This window comes from Homo sapiens, chromosome 17 (assembly GCF_000001405.40).
Source record: "Homo sapiens chromosome 17, GRCh38.p14 Primary Assembly".
In the NCBI taxonomy this organism is placed as follows: Eukaryota; Metazoa; Chordata; class Mammalia; order Primates; family Hominidae; genus Homo; species Homo sapiens.
The window spans coordinates 7,212,560-7,234,595 of NC_000017.11; the positions used below are offsets into that span (position 1 = coordinate 7,212,560).

The following is a 22,036-nucleotide window of genomic DNA, read 5'->3' on the forward strand; positions in this document are numbered from 1 at the left end:
TCCACACCAGAACCCAATTTCAGGAAATATTTAATCTACTTTAAAGCAGACCCTCCAAATTAAATAGCAATCTCGTCAATTTTTTCCAAAACTCTTATAAAAAGAAATGTAGACGGGAAGATCGCTGGAGGCCAGGTGCCCAACACCAGCTTGGGCAACATAGTGAGATCCCATCTCTAAAAAAAAAAATTTTGGCCTGGCACGGTGGCTCACACCTGTAATCCCAGCACTTTGGGAGGCCGAGGCGGTTGGATCATGAGGTCAGGCGTTCCAGACCAGCCTGGCCAAGATGGTGAAACCCCATCTCTACTAAAACTACAAAAATTAGCCGGGCGCGGTGGCAGGCGCCTGTAATCCTAGCTACTAGGGAGGCTGAGGCAGGAGGATGGCTTGAATCTGGGCAGCAGAGATTGCAGTGAGCCGAGATCGTGCCACTGCACTCTAGCCTAGGCGACAGAGTGAGACTCGGTCTCAAAAATTAATAATTAATTAATTAAAAGTATTTTCCTTTTCCTTTTCTTTTCTTTCTTTCTTTCTTTTTTTTTTTTTTTTTTTTGAGACAGATTCTCGCTCTGTTGCTCATGCTGGAGTGCAATGGCGCGATCTCGGCTTACTGCAACATCCGGCTCCCGGGTTCGAGTGATTCTCCTACCTCAACCTCCCGGATATCTGGCATTACAGGCGCCCGCCACTACGCCCGGCTAATTTTTTTGTATTTTTAGTAGAGACGGGGTATCGCCATGTTGGCCAGGCTGGTCTCGAACTCGTGACCTCACATGATCCGCGCGCCTCGGGCTCCCAAAGTGCTGGGATTACAGGTGTGAGCCACCGCACCCGGCACCTCCTCTCCTTTTCTTTACCCCTGAGGTTCATAGATTACACCCTTTTCTGTCTGCCCAGAACATCCCCTCCACGATTCTGAATTCCAACTTTGTCGGAAGATTGCTCCCAAATATATCTTCTCCACACTCAGGCCTCAAAAAATACACACCAAAGATACGGCCGGCAATCTGCAATGACCCACAAATCGTCCAGAACACTCCCAACCGCCTCCTTCAGGTCTCTTCAGAGATTTCCATTTTCTCCCAAACAACTTAACCTGAAAGCCTCTCTTCCAAATATTCTCCCATTGAACGCCCACCCTTCCAGCTCTTAAAACCCAGTGAGGGGTCTCCTCAAATCGGCTGACTTCTATAAAATGCCCATACATGGTAGAAATGACGACTTCCCTAGAATCTCACCCAAGCGAGATTGACCCCGTTGATCGGCATCTGTTACATGCGCCCCCAAGATGACCCCCAATGTCCTAGTTTCATATCTGGTAGGAAGGCTTGGATCACCAGAGGATCCAAGGAGTCAGTGCGGAAGGGGCTGGACTCAAATTTCCTTCTAGAATAGAAAACCTGCAGGCCCTGCTTATCCACCAGTGGGCGCCATGGCCCATAAAGACCCTTCCCCATCCCCCATTTCCCTTTTCCCTCCATTTTCCGTTTCTCTGTTGCCTGGCAACGCAGCAATCAAGGACTTTGCCGTCGCCTAGCAACCGTCTCCTGGGAACACAGAGCTGAGGTAGGAGGGGTGCTCTGATGAAATCTGAACAGACCTCCATCTTAGGAAAATTGAGACGTCAGACTTCCCAACCCCCGGATTCTCCTTTCCAAAGACCCCCGCGCCCTGAAGTTACTTGGACAATAGCTCCTCAAACCCTGTCTCCTTTACGCACGGGGGGCCACGCCACGCCCATCCCAGGTCAGCCCCGCCCTCATTTCGGTCAGGTAACCCAGCCCCAAGGTTCCTCCCCTTTCCGAAGGTTGCTGCCTCCCTCGATAGAGTAAGCCAGACCCCACCCACCTGCCCGGGAGGCCACGCCTCCGTCCACTTCCCGCCCGTTCGCTCCCCCTGCCTCGCCCACACTGTCCCTCCGCCACGCCCCTGACGGCCAATGAATGAGGCCGTCGGCCACACTGCCCCGCCCCCGGCATCTCGGCTTTGCCCAATAAGGACCACCCGGAGGGTTTAACCGCTTCGCTCCTGGGGCTCTGGCAAATAGCCTCAGTCTTTCCCCCACTGTATCCCCACCCCCACTTGTTCTGCTCCGCCTTCCGCCACCCTCGCCCGGCCCTCCAGTCCGCCACGCAGCTTCAGTCGTCGCCGGTTACCATGGCAACGGCGGCAGCAGCGCGGGGAAAGGGGGAGGGACGGGGGCGGAGTGGGAGAAAGAGATGCTCAGAGACGAGAGATTCTGGCAGAGATAAAGGCACCAAGAAAGACAAAGTGATCGCTGTAGAGTGGAGTTTGCACACAACACAGGGCCTAGCACGCAGTAGGCTTTCAATAAATGTTCCTTAAATTACTGCGGCAGGAGTCTAAATATAGGCAATGAAAGATGGAAGACTCAGGCAGAGCTGGGGAGCTCAACGACCGCAAAGCCTGAGCACTCCCTACCCCATCCAGCATTTGGGGAAGCAGGAGCCATGTGCCCCCTGCAGGCTCCTCTTGGGCTACCCTCCGCTGGCTGCCCTGGATAGAGATGAACCACAACTCCCAACAGCGCCATGGGCAGCAACCCTCTAACATTGAGGGATCTGGTGCCTCGGGGCCTTATGGGAGTTGGAGTCCCCACCATACCGAGGCTGACAAGTTTTCCAGCCAAGGAATGTGGCAAGCCTGGGTCTCCACGCCTCTGTAAACCCCAAATGCATGATCTGCTCTGTAAGCCTCCTTCCTTCAGGGATGCTCAACCCTGGGCTCCATGGAAGAAGTAGGAGTCTGGAGTGGGTAATGAATAAGGCCACCCACCCACCCAGAATAGCTGCCTGCTGGCAAGCCCCTCACCCTCGCTCCCATTTGTGTGTTCACGTGTTGGAAGCAGAGCCCACACATTCCAGCGGGCTTTCTATTTACACCTGGAATGCAGGGGACCACAGCCATGGAGCCTAAGGCCAAGTGACAGGCCTAAGGGCAGGAGACAGCGGGAGCAGAGGAAACCAGGCCAGAGAAACTGAGGCATAAAAATCCACCGAAACTACAGGGGATGTGGGGAAGAGGCAGCCTGGGAGAAAGCCCGAAACCCACAGAATGAAGGACAAGAAAGTCGCCCTGGTGGAGAGAGGGTGGGGGCTCCAGATCTAAAGGTCCTCAGCCCCCAATCTCTTCCAACCATCCTCACACGTGCACAATGCATGTGTACACACATGTGTGAGTTTGTGGCAGGGAACATGTGTGTCCTCAGCTCCCTCCCATGAAAAGCTGCAGTTCCCACTAAATATAACCCCCTCCCCAGCCTGTGACTCACCCGGACCCCGCCTCCCCCGGCCCCCACTTCCTGTCCCACCCCCCAGCCCCCAGCTGCCTGCCACCCGCCCAAGCCTCCCTCCACACACCAGGCATCCAGCTCTCCAGTCCCAGAGTCTCCAAGGAGAGCCTAGGTATCTGCATCCCACCAGGAGCTCGCCTGTGCTCCATCCGAGATCTCCTGCCTTTGCCAGGCTCCAACCAGAGGGACACTCTTGCACAGATCCCCATCGCTGCCAGCCCTGCCCTCCTCCTACACCTTTTCACCCCAGTAACCTCAGTAACTTCGGTCATAAGCCCTCAGGGACCCTTAAATCCAGGTGTCCTCCCCCACCTTGATCCCAAGCGTCAGGGGTATCTGGAACAGTCCCCACATCTGCTCTTCTCCCTCTCTCTTGATCAGGGCTAGATACAGTGTGGGAGGAGATGGGGATATTGGGCACCTGCCTTTGGGCCACCCCCAAATTGTGCACCACCCACCCGGTCCCCCTCCTCAAATCCCCTCTCTCCCTAAGCCTCTCATCCTCCTCCTCAGGGGCTGGCAAGCTCGGCTGCTGCAATCTTCTGCCTCCTATGGGAGTACCCCCAAATCCTTGCCTCACCTGGTCCATTCCCTCAGGTGATCCCATGCCAGGGCCCCAGCCCTCTGACAACTTCCAACTACCTCCATTCTATATGACTGAACCCTAAATTAACAGTTCCCTCAAATTGAGAGAGCATCCCTAAATGCAGCCACCACGAGATGCTTGTTCTAGAGTCTGAAGGCCCACCCCTTCCCTGCCAGCTGACACCCCCAGATCAGTCAGGCACTCACAACCAATAACCTTTACCCCATGCCAGGAGCCCCCCAAAACTGGACAAGGCCCTTGGAAGCCAGCTTTTCCCTGGGGAGGAAAGAGGAACCCCCCAACATAGCCCACCTTCCCACATACACCAGCAGGACTCCCTTATGAGCCAGGCTTCTCCTTAAATAAGTCTCCCTCAAACAGCGCTGATGAACCCCCAAACCCGCCAGGCCCCCCGAACCATGGAATATCCTAAATTTTCCATATCCCTACAGGTACAAAGGGATCACTCCAGGGGGCACCTGTGGCCAAATCCTGCATTTTCTCAGATGTGAACCCCAAAACTAAATTAAGACCCCCAAATACATCTTACTTCTGATGCTGCCACTCCAGGGGCGCCAGTCCCAGATAAGGCCTACTAACCCCTCCCCACAAACTCATACCCTCCCCCCAGTTTATAGCCCCCCCATCATGCTTACCTTGGTTGTCACTATACAGAGACAGTCCATGTTGGGGGGCCTGGCCGCGGCGGCGGGTAAGGGGCTCTGACTTCATCGGAGTTTCGTTCCTCCCCTCCGTGGGTTCTCACCCCTCCCCCCTCCGCACCCCACTTTTGCAGGGGGGGCCAGGATGGGGGGAGGGGTGAGAGGGGAAGGAGGGGGTTGGAGAAGGGAAGGGGAGGGGAGCGTGGGAGGGAGGGGAAGGGGGCCCTAAAAGGGGCTCCCCAGTGGAGGGGAGGGGGCTTGGGGAGCACACCCCGATTCTCAGGAGGGGCGGGGGCACCGGGGGCTGGCAGCCCCGGAGTTCGGGGGCTGGGGCATGAGCTGGGGTGGGGGAGGGGAACTGGATTTCGGGGAGCCCCGGGGTAGGGGGGGGTCTTGCCAAACGGCCAGGGGCTAGGGGCCGTGGCGGGGGAGTGGGGTGGGGGGGTTGGAAACGGCAGCGGCCGAGGGAGCCGTGGAGCCGAAGAGGGAAGGGGAGAGAGGAGGAGAGAGGAAGCAGGGGGAGGGAGGGAGGGAGCTAGGAGCCAGAATGGGGGGGGTGCCTTGGCAGAGTTAACTCCTTCTGTGCTGGCAGGAACCCGGATAATGGGAAAGGAGATAGAAGCAGAAGCACAGAGGCCCCTGAGGCAAACATGGAGACCTGGCCAGCCACCAGCGATGACAGCAAAGACGATGAGGCTGGATTTCATTTCTTAGAGAAGGAAGCATCTATAGTTGGGCTGGGAGCACCCACGGTTATTTGAATACGGGAGGGAGGCCTCTCGGCAGGCGGTAGGGGGTCGGGTGTGAGGGAGGAGCTGAAGGAGGCAATCCCTGGGGGCCTAGTTCTCCCTCAGGTTTCTCAGGGGGAAACCTAAAAAGTTAAGCCCTAGACTCTTTAGTGCCTGAAACTGGGGCAGCCAAAGAAAACGAGGAAGAAAGGGAGAGTGGGTACAGGACCACAGAGAGTGCATTCTCGGTGCCCCAAGTCCCTGGGCCACTGACTCAGGCTTTTGTCAGCAGGGCCCCCAAGATTCCAGGTAATATTAGTGATATTTGGCTCACCCCTCCAGCCCTGCCTGCCCCTCAGGAAGTTAGGCGCTCGCCCCCACCTCCTTACCTGACTCTCTGAGAGGGAAGCCTCATAATAGTCCAGGATGTCTGTCACAGGAACAGAACTGAGTTACCTCCCCACCCCAGGCCTCTCCAGGCACATCACCCCTGTCATCACCGCTGCTGGCTGGCTGGCAAGGGAGGAGCCCTTTCAGCCAAGGCTGGTCCACACTCATGGAGGACACCATAGGCAGGACCCTGCATGGTGCTCCAGCTTGGACCAAATGATCTCTGGGCTCCCAAACAGCCCCCGAAGTTCAGTAATGGCCCTTGGAGGCCCAGGTCCCTCAGAAAACGGGCTACTCACCCAGCAAGGCCTGGAAGAGGTCGCTATGCAGCACTGTGAGGAGTGGGGGTGCCCACCGCAGCAGTGGGGGTGCCAGGAGCCAGAGGGCTGACCTGGGAGCTAGTGAGATGCAAGGAGAATTGGGACAGGGAAGATGCCAACACAGGAAGATGAACACACTGTCACTTCATCTCCCCAGACTGTGCCCTTCACCCCAGCCCCTACGGAAAGATTTGGGGAGAAGGATCTCCGAGCCCCAGCCCCCCACTTCGCTCCCAGACCTCCCCTCCACAAGGAGCCCTGTTTTTCACCTCTTGGTCTCTGGGACATCTCTCTCTTCTCTCACTTTAATCTCCCTAATCCTCCAGGATTGGAGTTGAGCTGCTTCTCCCCACTAAATTCCAGCTGTGAGTAAAGTAGGCCGTCTCTGAGCCGACCAGCTGTCCCATTCCCCCAGGTCCCAAGGCACCAGCACCGCCACCATCTTGCTCCACACACCCTGGCCCCCTCTTCCCATAGGCAGGCAGAACCTAGCCACGCTCTCCTGAGAAGCCAGCAAAGAGGGCCTCCTCACAGAGGGCTCCAGCAGCTCAAAAAGAAGCTGAGCCCAGCTCTCTCTCCTCCTGGGCCTCCTCTCACCCCAATGAGAATTGCAGAAAAAGGGGTAGAAATTGTTTGGGACTTCCTGCCCTAGGGCTAGAGAAGTTGGGGTTTTACGGGTAAGAGGCAGGAGAATTCCTGCAGTTCCTCTCAGGCCCGGGAGGAATCCATCTGCCTGGGCACATGGTCTCTGGAAGGAACAGAGGGCAAAGACAGAAGGGAATGTTCAGGAAGGTCTCAGAGGCTTTACTAAGGGAGGGGCAGTGAATCTGGGGGGGTCTTCCTACTGTGAAACTGTAGCTGTTCCAAGAGTTAGTGAATGGCCTACATCTCAGAAGAATACACTTAGGGTACTCACACCCTAGCTTGGGTGCCCCCCACCACTGTACCCTCCCTTTTGTGTTGGCCGAGATAGATTTCATCAGGAACCCTAGAGTCTGTCTTTCCATGTCTCTGCCTCTGCCATCTACCTTACACTTCTCTTTCCCTACTTTTCCCTTCTAACCCCACCGGAGAAGCCCTCCCTTCAGTCCACCTCCATCCCTCTGGCTGCAGTGACTTAAGCCCCTTCCTCTTCTGTCCCATCCTATCCCATCACCCCGTCGGAGGACTAGACTCTAGGTCGGACGGGCGGGATTAAGGAGTTTGGGGGAGACGAGGGACGCTTGGAGATCCCTCTAAGTCAGCGGAACGCAGGGCCGGGCTCCAGGGAACTACAGCTCCCAGCATGCCCCGGGGCCCGCAACCGTCCGCCGCCCGGTGCACTGTGGACGATGAGTCAGGGTTAGGGGCGCCAGGACGTGGGCGTGCAGGACGCCAGAGCTGGGTCAGAGCTCGAGCCAGCGGCGCCCGGAGAGATTCGGAGATGCAGGCGGCTCGGATGGCCGCGAGCTTGGGGCGGCAGCTGCTGAGGCTCGGGGGCGGAAGGTCTGTGTGTGACAAGAGGGACGGTGGGCAGCGGCCCTGGGCACCGGGCCGGCACTGAACCCCCACTCCCCACAGCTCGCGGCTCACGGCGCTCCTGGGGCAGCCCCGGCCCGGCCCTGCCCGGCGGCCCTATGCCGGGGGTGCCGCTCAGGTAAGTCACCGCAGCCTTGGCAAGGGGGTGTGGGAGCGGCGGTCCGCTTCGGCGCCCGCCATCGGCAGGGATCTCCCTCTTGGTGCCAGGTACCTGCCTACTGCTCAGTCGCCGAAAGTAGGGGAAAGGGCAAGCCAGGGTGCCCTAGGGCGAAACTAGGGGAAAGGTCACCGCTTCGCGCCGCCTCCCCGCGCGGCTCTCGCCTGTTCTCCCCTTGACACAGCGGAAGTCCCTTCCCTGAACTTGCTAACCGTCTCTTTTCCCAGCTGGCTCTGGACAAGTCAGATTCCCACCCCTCTGACGCTCTGACCAGGAAAAAACCGGCCAAGGCGGTAGGTAGCCCCGAGGCCAGGTGGACCTTAGCCAGACCCAACCAGAGCCCTGAAATTTGCCTCTCTCTGCCCAGGAATCTAAGTCCTTTGCTGTGGGAATGTTCAAAGGCCAGCTCACCACAGATCAGGTGTTCCCATACCCGTCCGGTAAGGGAAGGGATAATCAGAGCTGGGTGGGGCCAGGGTGGTTTCCCCTGCCAGCCTGGCCTGACCAGCCTGTCCCCCACCCTCTGCAGTGCTCAACGAAGAGCAGACACAGTTTCTTAAAGAGCTGGTGGAGCCTGTGTCCCGTTTCTTCGAGGTAAGGAATGACTCGGGGCTTGGTCCCTGGTGAGGTGTTTGGAGATGTTAAGCTCAAAAGGAGCCTGGATGTGGGATCCTGTGCCTTCCCCAGGAAGTGAACGATCCCGCCAAGAATGACGCTCTGGAGATGGTGGAGGAGACCACTTGGCAGGGCCTCAAGGAGCTGGGGGCCTTTGGTCTGCAAGTGCCCAGTGAGCTGGGTGGTGTGGGCCTTTGCAACACCCAGGTGAGGGCGCCCTATCGCCACATCCCAGTATGCCATACCCCAGCTTGGCAGACTCAGCTCTTTTGCCATAGACCTAGAGACTAGGGCTAAGGTCTCTTCTAAGCACCTGCCCTGGGTGCCTGTGGGATGGATGTTAACTGTCCAAACATAACACAATTTACATGCAGTCCCCTAGGCCTGAGCCATGGGCCTCACCCTGGTTCCCAAGTCCTTACAAATCTCTAAGTTGGGGATTGCCTAACAATAGACTGACTAGTAGCAAGTCACCCTCCTACCTAGACCTAAGACAGACCAGCATTCTCTGCTGTGCCCTTTGCACACCCCACTTCTTTTCTACACACTGGGGATGGCCCAGGTCAGGCACTGCCCTAGGTCAGGAACTGCCCTAGGTCAGGAACTGCCCTGTTGCCCACACTCTCCTGTTAAGGTCAGGTCCCCCTGCAGCCAGTGACAACCCCAGATTCCTGCTTCCCCTCCAGTACGCCCGTTTGGTGGAGATCGTGGGCATGCATGACCTTGGCGTGGGCATTACCCTGGGGGCCCATCAGAGCATCGGTTTCAAAGGCATCCTGCTCTTTGGCACAAAGGCCCAGAAAGAAAAATACCTCCCCAAGCTGGCATCTGGTGAGGCAACCCTAGGAGAGCCAGGGATTGGGGGGCACACTGGGCTTGGCACAGATTAGGCCAGTTGGCACTTAGATTATCAGATGGCTGAGCATTTCAGTTGGGGGAAGGTTTTGGGGAGGCATCACAGTGTGCTGGTTGGGACATGCAAAAGAACTGGATACTCCCAGGTGTTAAGGGGGAACTGCCTGCTGGAGGGATGGGGAAGTGGGCCGAGGGGACTTTGAAGCTCATCAGAACTTGGGGTAAAGTAGCTCTCTCCCCAACAGGGGAGACTGTGGCCGCTTTCTGTCTAACCGAGCCCTCAAGCGGGTCAGATGCAGCCTCCATCCGAACCTCTGCTGTGCCCAGCCCCTGTGGAAAATACTATACCCTCAATGGAAGCAAGCTTTGGATCAGGCAACCTGCCTCCCATTTCTCCCCTTCTCCTCCGCCCAATTCCAGGCCCCACTGCTCCCCGTCCTCCACGCCCTGAATATCCCATTCTTCCACAGTAATGGGGGCCTAGCAGACATCTTCACGGTCTTTGCCAAGACACCAGTTACAGATCCAGCCACAGGAGCCGTGAAGGAGAAGATCACAGCTTTTGTGGTGGAGAGGGGCTTCGGGGGCATTACCCAGTGAGTGAATTTGGGTTGGGGGAGCTTAGGACTGAGGGGCAGGACTGGGCTCCTGGGCAGATGGCTGTTGCAAGTCACCCTGGGGACGTGTGCAAAAGCCAAAGCAGGTGGACTGAATGTGGCCTTTGGGACTAATATGTATGCAACTGAGCTAAAGTTTTGGCTCCAGCAACCAAGTCCAACACAAAATAGGACATAGCCAGGCCTCCTTAGCCCTCAGGGCCTGAGGGGAAGTGGTGGCTGTAGCCTCTAATAGTCTAGTGGTCGTCATTCCTCCCTGGTGCATAAGGAGCGAAGGAGCAGTTTTTCCCCCAGTGACAACCTGTTGAACACACCTCTGCTTTCCCACACTGCCCTGACACAGTGGGCCCCCTGAGAAGAAGATGGGCATCAAGGCTTCAAACACAGCAGAGGTGTTCTTTGATGGAGTACGGGTGCCATCGGAGAACGTGCTGGGTGAGGTTGGGAGTGGCTTCAAGGTTGCCATGCACATCCTCAACAATGGAAGGTTTGGCATGGCTGCGGCCCTGGCAGGTACCATGAGAGGCATCATTGCTAAGGCGGTGAGTACCCTGCCCGAGTCCCTAGGTAACCCAAACAGAAGTCTCACTGTCCCCCTTGCCATGTGTCCCTGATCACTTGCAGGCACTCCCTACACTAGAAACTCCTCCCCTACCAGCAGCCCGACTTGCTAGCTTAGGTCTCCATCCAGCGTAGACTGAACTCTGGTTGTATGCAAAACCCATCCCTCTGGCGCAAGCCCAGCCCCTCTCCTAGGGAGACTGCAGAACCACACTGAACCACAGCGGGATGTGTGGACCCTCTTCCAGGTAGATCATGCCACTAATCGTACCCAGTTTGGGGAGAAAATTCACAACTTTGGGCTGATCCAGGAGAAGCTGGCACGGATGGTTATGCTGCAGTATGTAACTGAGGTGAGGGCCTCCCAAGCCCCTCTCCCTGGAGCCCTGGGGCTTTCTTCCCAGTCGGGTCAGACTACAACCCCCAGCAGCACCTGGGGCAGTGGGTCTCCAGCTTTACACCAATGCCCTAGGGGATGCGGGGAGGCATAGTCAGCTCAGCTTCTGCGAAGAGAGACAGCAATGATGTTCTGCTCAGGTGCCTGCCAGCAGTACCAGAAGTTAATTCTACCTCATCCCTTACATCCACCCCTTTTAAGAAAACAAATACCTGGAAGCACCTGATGAACTGACCCAGAACAAGTATCTGCCTGACCTGACAAGCTAGGTCAGCCCTTATCTTGGAGATCTGGGTGATGAGGCCAAGTCTGACAAAGCCCTTTGCAATTTTCCTTCCCATGTCCCAACTATGCAACCTCAGTCCATGGCTTACATGGTGAGTGCTAACATGGACCAGGGAGCCACGGACTTCCAGATAGAGGCCGCCATCAGCAAAATCTTTGGCTCGGTGAGGTCCCAGGCATGCTGGGAGGGAGTCCAGTTTGGGTGCTCAGCTCCCAAAACCAGTCTCATCTGTTCTTTGTCCCTAGGAGGCAGCCTGGAAGGTGACAGATGAATGCATCCAAATCATGGGGGGTATGGGCTTCATGAAGGTACAGGACGGTCTTCTGCAGAGCCTCGGCTGGGCCAGGGGTGGGTAGGCACATCTCAGCACGGGCATATAATTTGTGTGGCCCTGTGCTAGGAACCTGGAGTAGAGCGTGTGCTCCGAGATCTTCGCATCTTCCGGATCTTTGAGGGGACAAATGACATTCTTCGGCTGTTTGTGGCTCTGCAGGGCTGTATGGTAAGACAGAGAATTGGGTGGGGGTAGAGGTGGGGAGGACAGTGAGTCCTGACTGCTGGACCCTCTTCCCCCATAGGACAAAGGAAAGGAGCTCTCTGGGCTTGGCAGTGCTCTAAAGAATCCCTTTGGGAATGCTGGCCTCCTGCTAGGAGAGGCAGGCAAACAGCTGAGGCGGTAGGCTTAGGGCCAGAGCCAGGGGAGGGCAGGGTGGTGTATGGCAACTAACCAGTCATTCTCCCTCTTCCTCTCAGGCGGGCAGGGCTGGGCAGCGGCCTGAGTCTCAGCGGACTTGTCCACCCGGAGTTGAGTCGGAGTGGCGAGCTGGTAAGTGGCCAGGGGTCCAGGAGAGCCTGCATCAGGGACTGCAGCCGATGGCCCCTCTGAGCCCCGCACTGTCCCCATCTCTTAAGGCAGTACGGGCTCTGGAGCAGTTTGCCACTGTGGTGGAGGCCAAGCTGATAAAACACAAGAAGGGGATTGTCAGTAAGTGAGCTCTACACCATTCCGCCCCTCCCTTTCCTCTCCTTGAGACTAATGCCCCCACCCCCACCCCCACCCCACCTACCGGACAGATGAACAGTTTCTGCTGCAGCGGCTGGCAGACGGGGCCATCGACCTCTATGCCATGGTGGTGGTTCTCTCGAGGTGAGGAGGCAGGCAGGGAATGCCTGAGCCGCAGGGGGCCTGGGCCTGGATCCCAGCCGGCCCAGATTTATTTTCATCTCCTGCTTCCTGCCAGGGCCTCAAGATCCCTGAGTGAGGGCCACCCCACGGCCCAGCATGAGAAAATGCTCTGTGACACCTGGTGTATCGAGGTGAGACTCGGGGCTGCCAAGCTCAGGTGAGGGCTGGAGGTGCAGGCCCAACCCCTCCTTCCCTCTCCCCAGGCTGCAGCTCGGATCCGAGAGGGCATGGCCGCCCTGCAGTCTGACCCCTGGCAGCAAGAGCTCTACCGCAACTTCAAAAGCATCTCCAAGGCCTTGGTGGAGCGGGGTGGTGTGGTCACCAGCAACCCACTTGGCTTCTGAATACTCCCGGCCAGGGCCTGTCCCAGTTATGTGCCTTCCCTCAAGCCAAAGCCGAAGCCCCTTTCCTTAAGGCCCTGGTTTGTCCCGAAGGGGCCTAGTGTTCCCAGCACTGTGCCTGCTCTCAAGAGCACTTACTGCCTCGCAAATAATAAAAATTTCTAGCCAGTCATGCTTTGCTCCTGTGTGACGGTTCTTTCCCCCTGCTGCCTGCCTCCCTCCCAAAGAAAGGAGCCAGAGGCGTGGGGAGTTTGCCTCTATTGCTTTATTTGGTGTTTTATACAAGTGACTAAAATAAATAGAGTAACAAAGGCAGCTACATGGCCCAAATCTCCCAGCTTCCTCAGGCTGCTGTCTAGGATGCCTAACCCCGGGGTACCGCTGACCACCCCCAACCCTGCAAAGGGCAGGGCTGTGGGTAACTGGAGGAGGAGGTCACATTCTGGGGTTAGAAGGGGCCCAATGGATGGGAATTCTTCATATAAAAGAGGAAATGCCTATTAAAAAAGTCCCAAAAATGTAAGAAACTCTATTTTAACCCCCAAAAAGGCTTATAAAAAAACAAAGCTAAAAATAATCAAAGGTCCCTTGTCTACCCCTGAGGGAAGGGGGAGGAACCAGGCACTGCTGGTGAGAGTCACAGTGGCCACAATCTCCTGTATGGCAGCAGCTGGTAGGCTGAGCCCAGGCACTGTAAGAGCAAGCACATGACGGCCAGGACACCCAGTCACACACCAGGAGCGCCCGGCCCAGCCTGGCCCCACAGTGGGCTACATAACATCCACAAAGAACTCGCTGGGATTGCCCATGGCCATGTGGAAGCTTTGGCGGCTGGCTGTCAGTTCTGGGGGCACAGAGCCCAGGTCTCTGACTGGAGGGGCCCCCGGAGGCTGCACTGCTGGAGGGACTGGAGGTGGAGGTGGGGGCATCATGACCACCATCATGGGGTTGTAGGGGAGGGCCATGCCAGGGGGCGGTCCATAGGGATGGAGCCCTGGGTGGGCTCGGAGATTAGGGGCACCCCCAGTTGAGCCTCTGGATGGAGGAGGGCCCCCATCGCTAGTCCCACTTGCTTCCCCACCCCGCCGAAGGCTGCCCCCTCGGCTGGAGGGCTCAGACTCACTGCCACTGCCGGACTTGGACTCGGGGGCCCGCTCCTCGGGCCTCCCCGTGCGCCCTGCCCCCCCATCACTCCGTGTCGACCCACTGCTCCGGCTGCCTGTGGAGGGAGGGGAGGGGCAACTGAGTCCTCACCCAGGCTCCTCCCTGGCTCCCCTCTCATCCACCCTCAGATCCTGGCCGTACAGGTATGTGGGGATGACTTACCCTCACTATGCTGGCTGCTGGCACTGCCCCCACCATAGGTGTAAGATGAAAGCTCATGGTAGGGTGGAGGCTGCGGGCTGTAGGGGTGTGGGGCAGGGTATTGGTAGGAGAAAGTGGGCAGCAGGGGCCAGGGGGTGGCCCCAGGCAGAGGAGCCAGGGTATCCTGGTCTGAAGCCCCACTGGAGCCATCGTTGTCATTGAGAGACAGGTTGACTAGGTCTGGAAAGCAAGGGAAGAGAGGAAGAAATCACTGCTTCAAGAGGCTAGGGCCCCAAGACACCGAATGGAGAGGAACTGGGAACAGTTCTCCCAGACCCACCCACGATGGGGCTCAAAACAGGGGTTCACAAGGGTCTCTGACAAGAAACTCCCATCTACTTCTGCCATGAGGGCAGGGGCACAGCCACTAGCCCACGTCTTTGCGGGACTCAGGTAAGAGGTGCACCTTCCCCCGGTGGACACAGTCCTGCACCTGGCACATGGCTTGTCCAGCAGCACATGGGTGGACGTCAGCCCCCATCCTCGGCCAGTGCAGGACCTAGTGCGGGACACACACTGCTCGACCATCCATGGTGGCCCTGGCTGCGGTTTCTGGGCTAGGTCTAGGGTTGGAGAGGCAGAACAAGGTAGGCAAAGCCACACTCCCAGAGTTGGGGCAGGGGGACTTACAGCTCTCACAGCCACCACTGAGGTCTCCGAAGACGTAATAGCACTGCTCAGAGAAGGTGATCTTGTTGACGGTGTGTCGGATCAGGCCTGCTTTGAGCAGCCCGCTGGCATACTTGCGGGCCTCCCGCCGCTCAGGAAAGCCCTCCACGTGATGGTAGAGCCAGTCAACCACATCCGAGCCTGGGAGCACCCACAGTGGAAAAAGGCCTCAGGTTCTTCTTCCAACTCCTGCTCTCGCCTCTGCCTGTGCCATTCCTGGCTTTGGTCACCACCTCCTCCCCTTCTCCAGCCACCTGCCCAGGACCCAGCCATACCCAGAAAGGCATTAGGGATGGTGATCTTGAGCCACATGCGGTCCCGGACTTCCAGTCCAGACTCTGGAGCTGCCATGGCCTTGGTCACCGATGCCATGTCCGTATGGACGGAGAGACCCCGGCCTTCACAGCCTGGCAGAGGAGACAACGGGTAACCAGAGTCAGGGATCGCTCCCACAAGGGCAATGGATCAGACCACTGCGGGACAGCCTTCTGCTGGGAGGGTGGGATGAGGTGGGCTGGCGGCTCACCATCAGGCAAAGACGATCCAGATGTAATGGTGCTCATGGAGGAGGAACCTGGATAGGCTGGGAAGGTGCCAGTCAGAGCCGCGGAATGGGACACCCAGGCAGCAGGGTCAATTGGCTGGATGGGCTCATCTGGGACAAAGATGGCACCAAAATGACCCATTCTCAGTCCCCAAAAGCCAGCCCAGTCCCTCCCTGACTCAGCCTCCTGTTCCACCTCTGCCTGGACCCTCCTCCCACCCATTCCCCATGACCACAGGCCCGGCCCCAGCCTCCTGGGCAGCCCCCACCCCCAACTTCAGGCCCCTCCCTGAGTGTCACTCACTTCGGGGGAGAGTGAAATAGGCCTGAGGAGAGGGATCCCAGCACTTGGCCACAGTCAGCACAATGGGGCTATGGGGAAGAGAAGTCCAGTCAAGGGCGCAGGGGAAGAGGAGGCCTCAGGAGGGCGGGGGTCTGAAGCAAGGATGGATTAAGAGACACAAAGAGGGGGAGAAGCAAGCACATCGCGGCTGGGCTAGAGAAGGTGAGGGTGGAAGGCACCACAATGTGGATGACTCATCAACATGGAAAACTCTTAAAAACATACTGCCAAGTGAGACAAGAGAGTACACGCTGTACAGTTCCATTCACAGAAAGTCCAAAAACAGGTAAAACGAAACTGCAGTGTTCAAGGATACGTGCAAGGGTGGTAACTATCCAGTGAGGCAAAGCTTTTCTTTGTTATGGTGATGGCCAAAGAAGTCAGGAGAGTGACTACCCCTGGGGCAGTGAGGCATTTGGGAGCAGGAAGGGACATCTGAGGAGGAAGTTCTAGGGTATCAGCAATCTCCTATTTGATGATCTAGATGGCAGTGACATGGATATTTACTCTAGTATTATTTGCTATGTCATGCATTTGTTTCATGTACTTTGAACGTTATGTCTTAGCACTTTTTTTTTTTTTTGAGACGGAGTCTTGCTCTGTCGCCCAGGCTGGAGTGCAGTGGCGTGATCTCGTTTCACTGCAACCTCCACCCCCCAGGGTTCAAGTGATTCTCCTGTCTCAGCCACCTCACTAGCTGGGACTACAGGCATGTGCCACCATGCCCACTTAATTTTTCTATTTTTAGTAGAGACACGGTTTCACCACATTGGTCAGGCTGGTCTCGAACTCCTCACCTCAGGTGATCCACCCATCTGGGCCTCCCAAAGTGCTGGGTTTACAGGCTCGAGCCACCACGCCCGGCTGTCTTAGTACTTATTAAAATTCCAAAACAAAACATGAAAGAGAAAAAAAAAGAGGACTGAGGACCGGCAACCTGCTTGGCAACTCACCCAGGCTTGTGCACAATGTCCCTCAGCACCCGCACAGCGTCATCGTTGCTCATGTTCTCAAAGTTCATGTCATTCACCTGGAAGCGACGGCAAGTGGGTCAGAGACACGGTGGGAGAGGCTGAGGGCCCCCGTGCAGGGCAGCTCAGTGGCCCTACCCCAGCACACCTGCAAAAGCATGTCCCCTGGCTCAATGCGCCCGTCGGCCGCCACAGCCCCACCCTTCATGATGGAGCCAATGTAGATGCCTCCGTCTCCCCGCTCATTGCTCTGGCCAACAATGGAGATACCCAGGAAGTTGTACTTCTCTGTGGAGAGAGGCCATGTGAAAAGAGGAGCCCCTGCCACAGGACGCCCGGAACCCTAGAGACCAGGCCCTCCCCACGCCCTAGCCACAGGCTCTCCCCATACCCATGTTTAGCGTGACTGTGATGATATTGAGAGACATTGTGGAATCTGTGACGCTGCTGAAGGATGACGTCTGTGGTGGGAAAAGGAGCCAGAGTGCCCTTCAATAACCCAGGGTCAACCCTGGGGTGCTGCCGGTGTCCTGGCACCGCCCAAACCAAAGCCCATGCCCCACCTTCTCCCAGCACCAGCCTTCCTGTAGGAACCCCTCACCCTCTCCAGGCGGGGTGGCCTCTGCTTCCTTCGCCGCCGGTGGCGCTTAAGGAGGCGGGAGGCACTGCTCTGCTCCGTGGAGCTGCTGAACCTACCAGGAGGTTGGGAAGGAGAGCAAACGTAGGCCAAAGTGGTCATGGGGCCAAGAGAAAGAACAAGAGGATTGACTGGAAGACGAGACGGGGCTGGGTGCGCTGGGGAGAGCTGTGCGGAGCCACACCTGCTCATGGTGTCCTCCTCGTCCGAGTCCCCCAGGCTGGTACTCTCCAGCTCGCTGGTCATGAGGGTAGAGGAGCTCTCGTATCCGGCCAGGTGGCGCTCCAGCCTTGAGGGGCCACCAGTCCTGTGGCCCCCAGCTACATATGGACAGGAAGCTCAAGAACCAAGCTTCCCCCTGCTCACCCCACCAAGGCTGGGGTCTGGCCCAGCCCTTCCCGGCCCCCAGGCCTGCCCCTCACCGCCATGCTCACTGCTGTCTCTCCTGCGAGGCCGCTCCCGCCTCAGTGACACTACTGACTCGGTTTCTGTCTCAGGCTCCAGATTCTCATGGCTGCTGGACACATTAGGGCTGGACAGGCAGAGATGGTTTCCAACCCACATCAGGAGAACAGGGCTCCGGATCCTAGGCGTCCCCTACCAAAGGCCTGGGTTCCCTCCTCACCTCCCTCCCCTGCAGTCAAGAATCTGAAGGACTCACTGGAAGGATGGAGGCCTTGAGTCCCCAATGCCGCTGGTCCTCTCGGGTGGCAAAGGAGGTAAAGGTGGGGCTGGAGGCGCCAGTTCTGCCCGAGGCTCATGGACTGGAGGGGCCATCTCGGGTTGGGGATTATCTGAGGACACCAGCTAGAAGGGTGCAAATGATAAACAGTGGCTCACTTGGGAGTCAGGGTGTGACAGGTGGCAGTAAGTGAAAGAATGAGAAAGGGTCTCAGAGAGCTGGAGAAGAGCAAAAAAACCTAGCAAGTATTAGAGACTCCAGAAGGAGAAGGCTGAGGGCCTCTCGCCGGCTCTCCAAACAGACAGGAGGTAAAGAGCCAGGGCTGCTAACGCGCGGCCTGGGGAGGATACAGAAACAGACTGAGGCTTGAGGGAGCTTGGCAATGCTGAGGGGGCCTGGTCCTCGGTGTCAGAACCTCTTACCCAGGATACCACCCTTCCGTTGAAGCAGGGGAGGCGGGCGTTGTCATCTGAAATTTCTTCCTTCACCACCCTGCCAAGCGACAAGGTAGAGGTCAGTGAGCTGGACCAACCATCCCCACCCCGACCCCCATCAAACTTTCTCCCAATCTTCACCTGGCTCCAGGATGTTGACTTTCTCCTGCCCTGTTCAGGTCTTCTCTTACATTGAAAGAACTCACTCCGACACCTAAGAAATCTCCAAACTCAATCCCCTTTCCTTATTTCTCCTCTCCCTAACGCACCCTCAGGGGCACAGTGCTGCTCCAAAGACTTCCTTGAGTCTGACTCAAACCTCTTAGTCCAGTTTCAAAAGCAATCCCGCACGCTGATGCGGCTGCCTGAGATACCTATCTAATGAGACTGGCTGGTGGCCTCCTCTCAACCCCACCCCTGTTCCTTACAAACCTTCCAAAAAGGTCAGGCACGGTGGCTCACACCTGTAATCCCAGCACTTTGGGAGGCTGAGGCGGGCGGATCACCTGAGGTCAGGAGTTCAAGACCAGCCTGGCCAGCATGGTGAAACCCCATCTCTACTAAAATACAAAAATTAGCCGGGCATGATGGTGGGTGTCTATAATCCCAGCTACTCAGGAGGCTGAGATGGGAGAGTCGCTTGAACCCGGGAGACAGTGGTTGCAGTAAGTCGAGATCGCGCCACTGCATTCCAGCCTGGGCGGCTCAAAAAAAAAAAAAAAAAAAACCTTCCAAAAAAGGCTTTGGTCCTCATCAAAGCCTCTACTCTTATACTTTCCTTTAGTTTTCTCTAATTCATTTCTAGAAGACTGTCCTTTCTTGAGTAAAAACACCCATTAGAGGCCAGGCGTAGTGACTCACACCTGTAATCCCAGCACTTTGAGAGGCCAAAGTGGGCAGATTACCTGAGGTCAGGAGTTCAAGACCAGCCTGGCCAACATGGTGAAACCCTTTCTCTACTAAAAATATAAAAATTAGCCAGGCATGGTGGTGCACACCTATAATCCCAGCTACTCCGGAGGCCAAAGCAGGAGAATCGCTTGAACCCAGTAGGCGAAGGTTGCAGTGAGCTGAGATTGCGCCGCTGCACTCCAGCCTGGGCAGAGTGAGACTCCACCTCAGAAAAAAAAAAAAAAAAAAAAACCACCCATTGGATCAAACAAACAATGGAAGTTCCTCATTAGACTGAAAGCTCCCAAGGAGAGGGCAAGCTGGGGTTCCCATTCCCCTGTGCCTCACTGGGCACAAAATTCTGCACAAAGCAATCTGCTCAACCTGACAGATCCCAAAGCCCAGCCTTGGGGTCATCTCTCCAATGGGTTCCCTGTGGTGGACCGGACTTGCCCCTTCTTCTTGACCATGACATCAAACCATGAACACTTACTCTGGTCAACACCATGTCCTAGCCACACACCACACACTGACACTTAAGCATTAACAAATACTGTCGACTAAATGAATAAACGTATAAAGCATCAGACTCTCTACCCTAGTTGTTCCTCTCTCTCTTTCCACACACAACCTTAGCCCCAAATTAGGACACCTTGTCTAATTAACCCGTTAGCCTAATATGGTCATGGGAGCCAGGATATATATCAACATAATCCATTTGCTGTCAACGTGACAACACAGCCCAGTCACTACTAACCCGTCTCAGCATAATGTAGGATTCTTCCCAACATAACACAATCTCAGCACAGCTTGGTCCACTCTGAGGCAAATTATTCTGTATCACCATAACCTACTTTACAGAGTGGTCAGCCTCAATGCTAATTACAATTACCATTCACCAAGAATTTCCCGTGTGCCACACACGTGAACTAACCATTTCATTCTGTGATTTTCTCCATGTCACAGATGAGATCAAGACACAAAATTTAAATAAATTGTCCAAGATTACATTGCTGACAACTAGAAAAACCTTGCCTTAAAGCCAAGATAACTCCCAAGATAGTATCAGCATCCCCATGTCAAACAATCTTTCTAGCTAGAGTCCAGTTTGTTCAGTTCTTCTAAAACCCATGCTATCCCAACTTAATCCAGCCTGCCTTCAAAAAAGCAGAGGTTGGGCCGGGCGCGGTGGCTCACGCCTGTAATCCCAGCACTTTGGGAGGCTGAGGCGGGCGAATCACGAGGTCAGAAGTCAGAGACCAGTCTGGCTAAAACGGTGAAACCCCGTCTCTACTAAAAAATACAAAAAATTAGCCGGGTGTGGTGGCGGACGCCTGTAGTCCCAGCTACTTGGGAGGCTGAGGCAGGAGAATGGCGTGGACCCGGGAGGCAGAGCTTGCAGTGAGCTGAGAATGCGCCACTGCACTCCAGCCTGGGCGACAGAGCGAGACTGTCTCAAAAAAAAAAAAAAAAAAAAGCAGAGGTTGAGGACCCAGAAGGCTCAGCCCCAAAGACCATAAACACAAAAGGGCTTTCTCTGCATTATTTACACGCCAATCTAGTCCAAGATAGCCCTGAATGTCCCAAATTACCCTAGGATAGCCCAATCTATTCTAGCACAGCCTACAATGCCCCCACACGCAGCTGTCTGCACCAGTCTAGATTGGAACATCCCAATACGGCTGCCTGTGCTAGCACAGGCCCCAACAGCCTTGTCTGCCCCTATACCGAGTGCTCCAATAAAACCAAGTCTTGCCCCAAGAGAAACCAGGATTAACCAATACAACCCAGTAGAGTCCATAATGGCCCAAGTGTTTTTTGTTTTTTTTCTGAGACGGAGTCTCGCACTGTCGCCCAGGCTGGAGTGCAGTGGCGCGATCTCGGCTCACTGCAACCTCCGCCTCCCAGGTTCAAGAGATTCTCCCTGCTTCAGCCACCCAAGTAGCTGGGACTACAGGCGCGTGCCCCCACGCCCGGCTAATTTTTTGTATTTTTAGTTAGTAGAGATGGGGTTTCACCGTGTTAGCCAGGATGGCCTCGATCTCCTGACCTCGTGATCCGCCCGCCTCAGCCTCCCAAAGTGCTGGGATTACAGGCGTTACAGGACTCCTGAGAACGTACTAAACAACCAGACAATGGATCAATTTACTCAGTACAGACTAGAATACTCCAACATAAACCAGTATGCCCCCACCTATTCCAGTAAAGCCTAATCTTGTCTAATCTGGTTTAGGATATCCTAGTCTGTCCGTGTGCCTCAATCTATCCAAGCATAACCTTGTCCATCCTGGGATAGTCAACCTACCTCAGCATAGTACAATCTGCTCCACCATAGGCCAGAAAATCCCAGTGTGGCCCAAAGTAGACGTGTGCCCCTCCATGTCGCCCAATCCACTCTAGCAAAGCCCCCGCCGGTCCTATCTAGGCCTTGCGCTCACCCGAAATCCTGATCCATAGACTTGAAAAAGTACTTGGCGCCCGCGGGCCGCTGCAGGACGCTCTTGAAATCGCCGAGGGTGATGCGCTCGGCGGGGACAGGGATCTTCACCAGGTAGGGAGTCTCTTCCTCATCCAGGTGGTAAATCACCTTCGTCTCCCCAACCCCACCGCCCCCAGTGCTGCTACCCGCCATGGTCTCGCCCGCGCGCTCCCGGGCTCCACCGCCCACCCAAAGGGCTAATGGCCCCTGCCGCGCCTGCGCACACCCGCAAACCGACGCGCGAGCGCGGACAGGACTGACCCAGTACGGGAGAGAAGCAAAGGGGAAAAAGCACGGATCTGCGAGGGTGGCGGCGGGGGGCGGGCCGCGGGGTGCGACTCAAAGCCCCGGTCTCAGCGGCCGCCGCGCGCCACCGCCACCGACGCCGCGAGCTTCCTCCAGGTACCCGCCCACCTCTCCTCATGTCACGTGACTTAAAGGCAGCCACCCCGCGCTCCTCAGCCGCCCTCCGTCACGTGATCCCCT

General features: G+C 56.4%; 3 protein-coding genes and 1 non-coding gene across 22 annotated transcripts in view, besides 8 other annotated features; 1 reads left to right on the forward strand and 3 right to left on the reverse strand.

The window, feature by feature from the left end:
- DLG4 (discs large MAGUK scaffold protein 4) overlaps positions 1 to 7,491 on the reverse strand; it is a 32,864-nt gene extending 25,373 nt beyond the window's left edge. For 2 of the 5 annotated variants that reach the window (NR_135527.1, NM_001321074.1), the window contains exons 1-3: positions 6,272 to 7,491; positions 5,982 to 6,080; positions 5,682 to 5,722 (exon numbers count right to left, since the gene is read on the reverse strand). Coding sequence is in view for 4 of the 5 variants with exons in the window: in NM_001321074.1 (NP_001308003.1) it covers positions 5,682 to 5,722; positions 5,982 to 6,080; positions 6,272 to 6,290 (159 nt within the window). In the remaining variant the exon portion in view is untranslated. Of the gene's footprint in view, positions 1 to 4,558; positions 5,069 to 5,681; positions 5,723 to 5,981; positions 6,081 to 6,271 lie in introns of those variants that run through there. The other 3 variants (NM_001128827.4, NM_001321075.3, NM_001365.5) reach the window with 2 other exon arrangements.
- Positions 1,751 to 2,045: an enhancer, noted in NCBI's record as "tiled region #12633; K562 Activating DNase matched - State 5:Enh". NCBI's record gives its function as "activates a minimal TATA promoter and a strong SV40 promoter by Sharpr-MPRA in K562 cells {active_cell/tissue: K562}" and the evidence as "EXISTENCE:reporter gene assay evidence [ECO:0000049][PMID:27701403]".
- Positions 1,793 to 2,032: a silencer, noted in NCBI's record as "silent region_8087". NCBI's record gives its function as "represses an Ori minimal core promoter by ATAC-STARR-seq in GM12878 lymphoblastoid cells {active_cell/tissue: GM12878}" and the evidence as "EXISTENCE:reporter gene assay evidence [ECO:0000049][PMID:35858748]".
- Positions 2,420 to 3,398: an enhancer, noted in NCBI's record as "H3K27ac-H3K4me1 hESC enhancer chr17:7118298-7119276 (GRCh37/hg19 assembly coordinates)". NCBI's record gives its function as "activates a minimal SCP1, AML or CMV promoter by ChIP-STARR-seq in naive H9 embryonic stem cells {active_cell/tissue: H9 hESC(naive)}" and the evidence as "EXISTENCE:reporter gene assay evidence [ECO:0000049][PMID:30033119]".
- Positions 4,566 to 12,707, forward strand: ACADVL (acyl-CoA dehydrogenase very long chain). Of its 10 annotated transcripts, NM_001270447.2 has the most exons (21): positions 4,566 to 4,614; positions 5,157 to 5,259; positions 7,563 to 7,638; positions 7,905 to 7,970; positions 8,045 to 8,117; positions 8,207 to 8,271; positions 8,365 to 8,499; positions 8,979 to 9,123; positions 9,393 to 9,522; positions 9,618 to 9,743; positions 10,108 to 10,306; positions 10,574 to 10,678; positions 11,085 to 11,171; positions 11,254 to 11,316; positions 11,409 to 11,510; positions 11,587 to 11,684; positions 11,762 to 11,834; positions 11,921 to 11,993; positions 12,083 to 12,155; positions 12,250 to 12,325; positions 12,398 to 12,707. In NM_001270447.2, exons 1-21 carry the CDS (start codon positions 4,587 to 4,589, stop codon positions 12,536 to 12,538), a joined length of 2,037 nt encoding a protein of 678 aa, NP_001257376.1. In that variant the 5' UTR covers positions 4,566 to 4,586; the 3' UTR covers positions 12,539 to 12,707. The 10 variants fall into 10 exon arrangements, 9 of the variants coding, with proteins under 9 accessions (NP_001257376.1, NP_000009.1, NP_001257377.1 ...); NM_000018.4 differs by lacking the exons at positions 4,566 to 4,614; positions 5,157 to 5,259 and adding an exon at positions 7,379 to 7,487; NM_001270448.2 differs by lacking the exons at positions 4,566 to 4,614; positions 5,157 to 5,259 and having other exon boundaries at positions 7,379 to 7,638.
- Positions 7,503 to 7,712: a silencer, noted in NCBI's record as "silent region_8088". NCBI's record gives its function as "represses an Ori minimal core promoter by ATAC-STARR-seq in GM12878 lymphoblastoid cells {active_cell/tissue: GM12878}" and the evidence as "EXISTENCE:reporter gene assay evidence [ECO:0000049][PMID:35858748]".
- Positions 7,671 to 8,278: an enhancer, noted in NCBI's record as "H3K27ac-H3K4me1 hESC enhancer chr17:7123549-7124156 (GRCh37/hg19 assembly coordinates)". NCBI's record gives its function as "activates a minimal SCP1, AML or CMV promoter by ChIP-STARR-seq in naive H9 embryonic stem cells {active_cell/tissue: H9 hESC(naive)}" and the evidence as "EXISTENCE:reporter gene assay evidence [ECO:0000049][PMID:30033119]".
- On the reverse strand, positions 10,738 to 10,820 carry MIR324 (microRNA 324). Its single transcript, NR_029896.1, has one exon. It is a non-coding gene; the product is annotated as a microRNA 324 (primary transcript).
- Positions 12,397 to 12,896: an enhancer, noted in NCBI's record as "H3K4me1 hESC enhancer chr17:7128275-7128774 (GRCh37/hg19 assembly coordinates)". NCBI's record gives its function as "activates a minimal SCP1, AML or CMV promoter by ChIP-STARR-seq in primed H9 embryonic stem cells {active_cell/tissue: H9 hESC(primed)}" and the evidence as "EXISTENCE:reporter gene assay evidence [ECO:0000049][PMID:30033119]".
- Positions 12,783 to 21,958, reverse strand: DVL2 (dishevelled segment polarity protein 2). Of its 6 annotated transcripts, none has more exons than XM_005256502.3 (15): positions 21,510 to 21,958; positions 18,169 to 18,238; positions 17,726 to 17,871; positions 17,499 to 17,596; positions 17,249 to 17,384; positions 17,029 to 17,119; positions 16,819 to 16,888; positions 16,576 to 16,715; positions 16,410 to 16,486; positions 15,418 to 15,485; positions 15,096 to 15,224; positions 14,845 to 14,976; positions 14,531 to 14,710; positions 13,862 to 14,080; positions 12,783 to 13,754 (listed from the first exon to the last, which is right to left on the reverse strand). In XM_005256502.3, exons 1-15 carry the CDS (start codon positions 21,701 to 21,703, stop codon positions 13,306 to 13,308), a joined length of 2,199 nt encoding a protein of 732 aa, XP_005256559.1. In that variant the 5' UTR covers positions 21,704 to 21,958; the 3' UTR covers positions 12,783 to 13,305. The 6 variants fall into 6 exon arrangements, with proteins under 6 accessions (XP_005256559.1, NP_004413.1, XP_047291474.1 ...); NM_004422.3 differs by having other exon boundaries at positions 17,487 to 17,596; XM_047435518.1 differs by lacking the exon at positions 21,510 to 21,958 and adding an exon at positions 18,322 to 18,635.
- Positions 16,915 to 18,114: an enhancer, noted in NCBI's record as "CDK7 strongly-dependent group 2 enhancer chr17:7132793-7133992 (GRCh37/hg19 assembly coordinates)". NCBI's record gives its function as "activates an origin of replication core promoter dependent on BRD2, BRD4, P300/CBP, MED14 and CDK7 cofactors, with strong dependence on CDK7, by STARR-seq in HCT116 cells {active_cell/tissue: HCT116}" and the evidence as "EXISTENCE:reporter gene assay evidence [ECO:0000049][PMID:35650434]".
- Positions 21,696 to 21,995: a silencer, noted in NCBI's record as "silent region_8089". NCBI's record gives its function as "represses an Ori minimal core promoter by ATAC-STARR-seq in GM12878 lymphoblastoid cells {active_cell/tissue: GM12878}" and the evidence as "EXISTENCE:reporter gene assay evidence [ECO:0000049][PMID:35858748]".

What these genes read in the sequence shown, in the direction of transcription:
- ACADVL (NM_001270447.2), top strand. Translation starts at nt 4,587, where the DNA reads ATGTTGGGGGGCCTGGCCGCGGCGGCGG. An exon ending in TGGGCCTTTGCAACACCCAG is followed by an intron (nt 8,500 to 8,978) that starts GTGAGGGCGCCC and finishes CTTCCCCTCCAG; the next exon opens with TACGCCCGTTTGGTGGAGAT. An exon ending in TGGCTCTGCAGGGCTGTATG is followed by an intron (nt 11,511 to 11,586) that starts GTAAGACAGAGA and finishes CTTCCCCCATAG; the next exon opens with GACAAAGGAAAGGAGCTCTC.
- DVL2 (NM_004422.3), bottom strand. Translation starts at nt 21,703, where the DNA reads ATGGCGGGTAGCAGCACTGGGGGCGGTGGGGTTGGGGAGACGAAGGTG. An exon ending in TCAAGGCCTCCATCCTTCCA is followed by an intron (nt 17,597 to 17,725) that starts GTGAGTCCTTCA and finishes CTGCCTGTCCAG; the next exon opens with CCCTAATGTGTCCAGCAGCC. An exon ending in TGGATCGTCTTTGCCTGATG is followed by an intron (nt 14,977 to 15,095) that starts GTGAGCCGCCAG and finishes CTCCTCTGCCAG; the next exon opens with GCTGTGAAGGCCGGGGTCTC.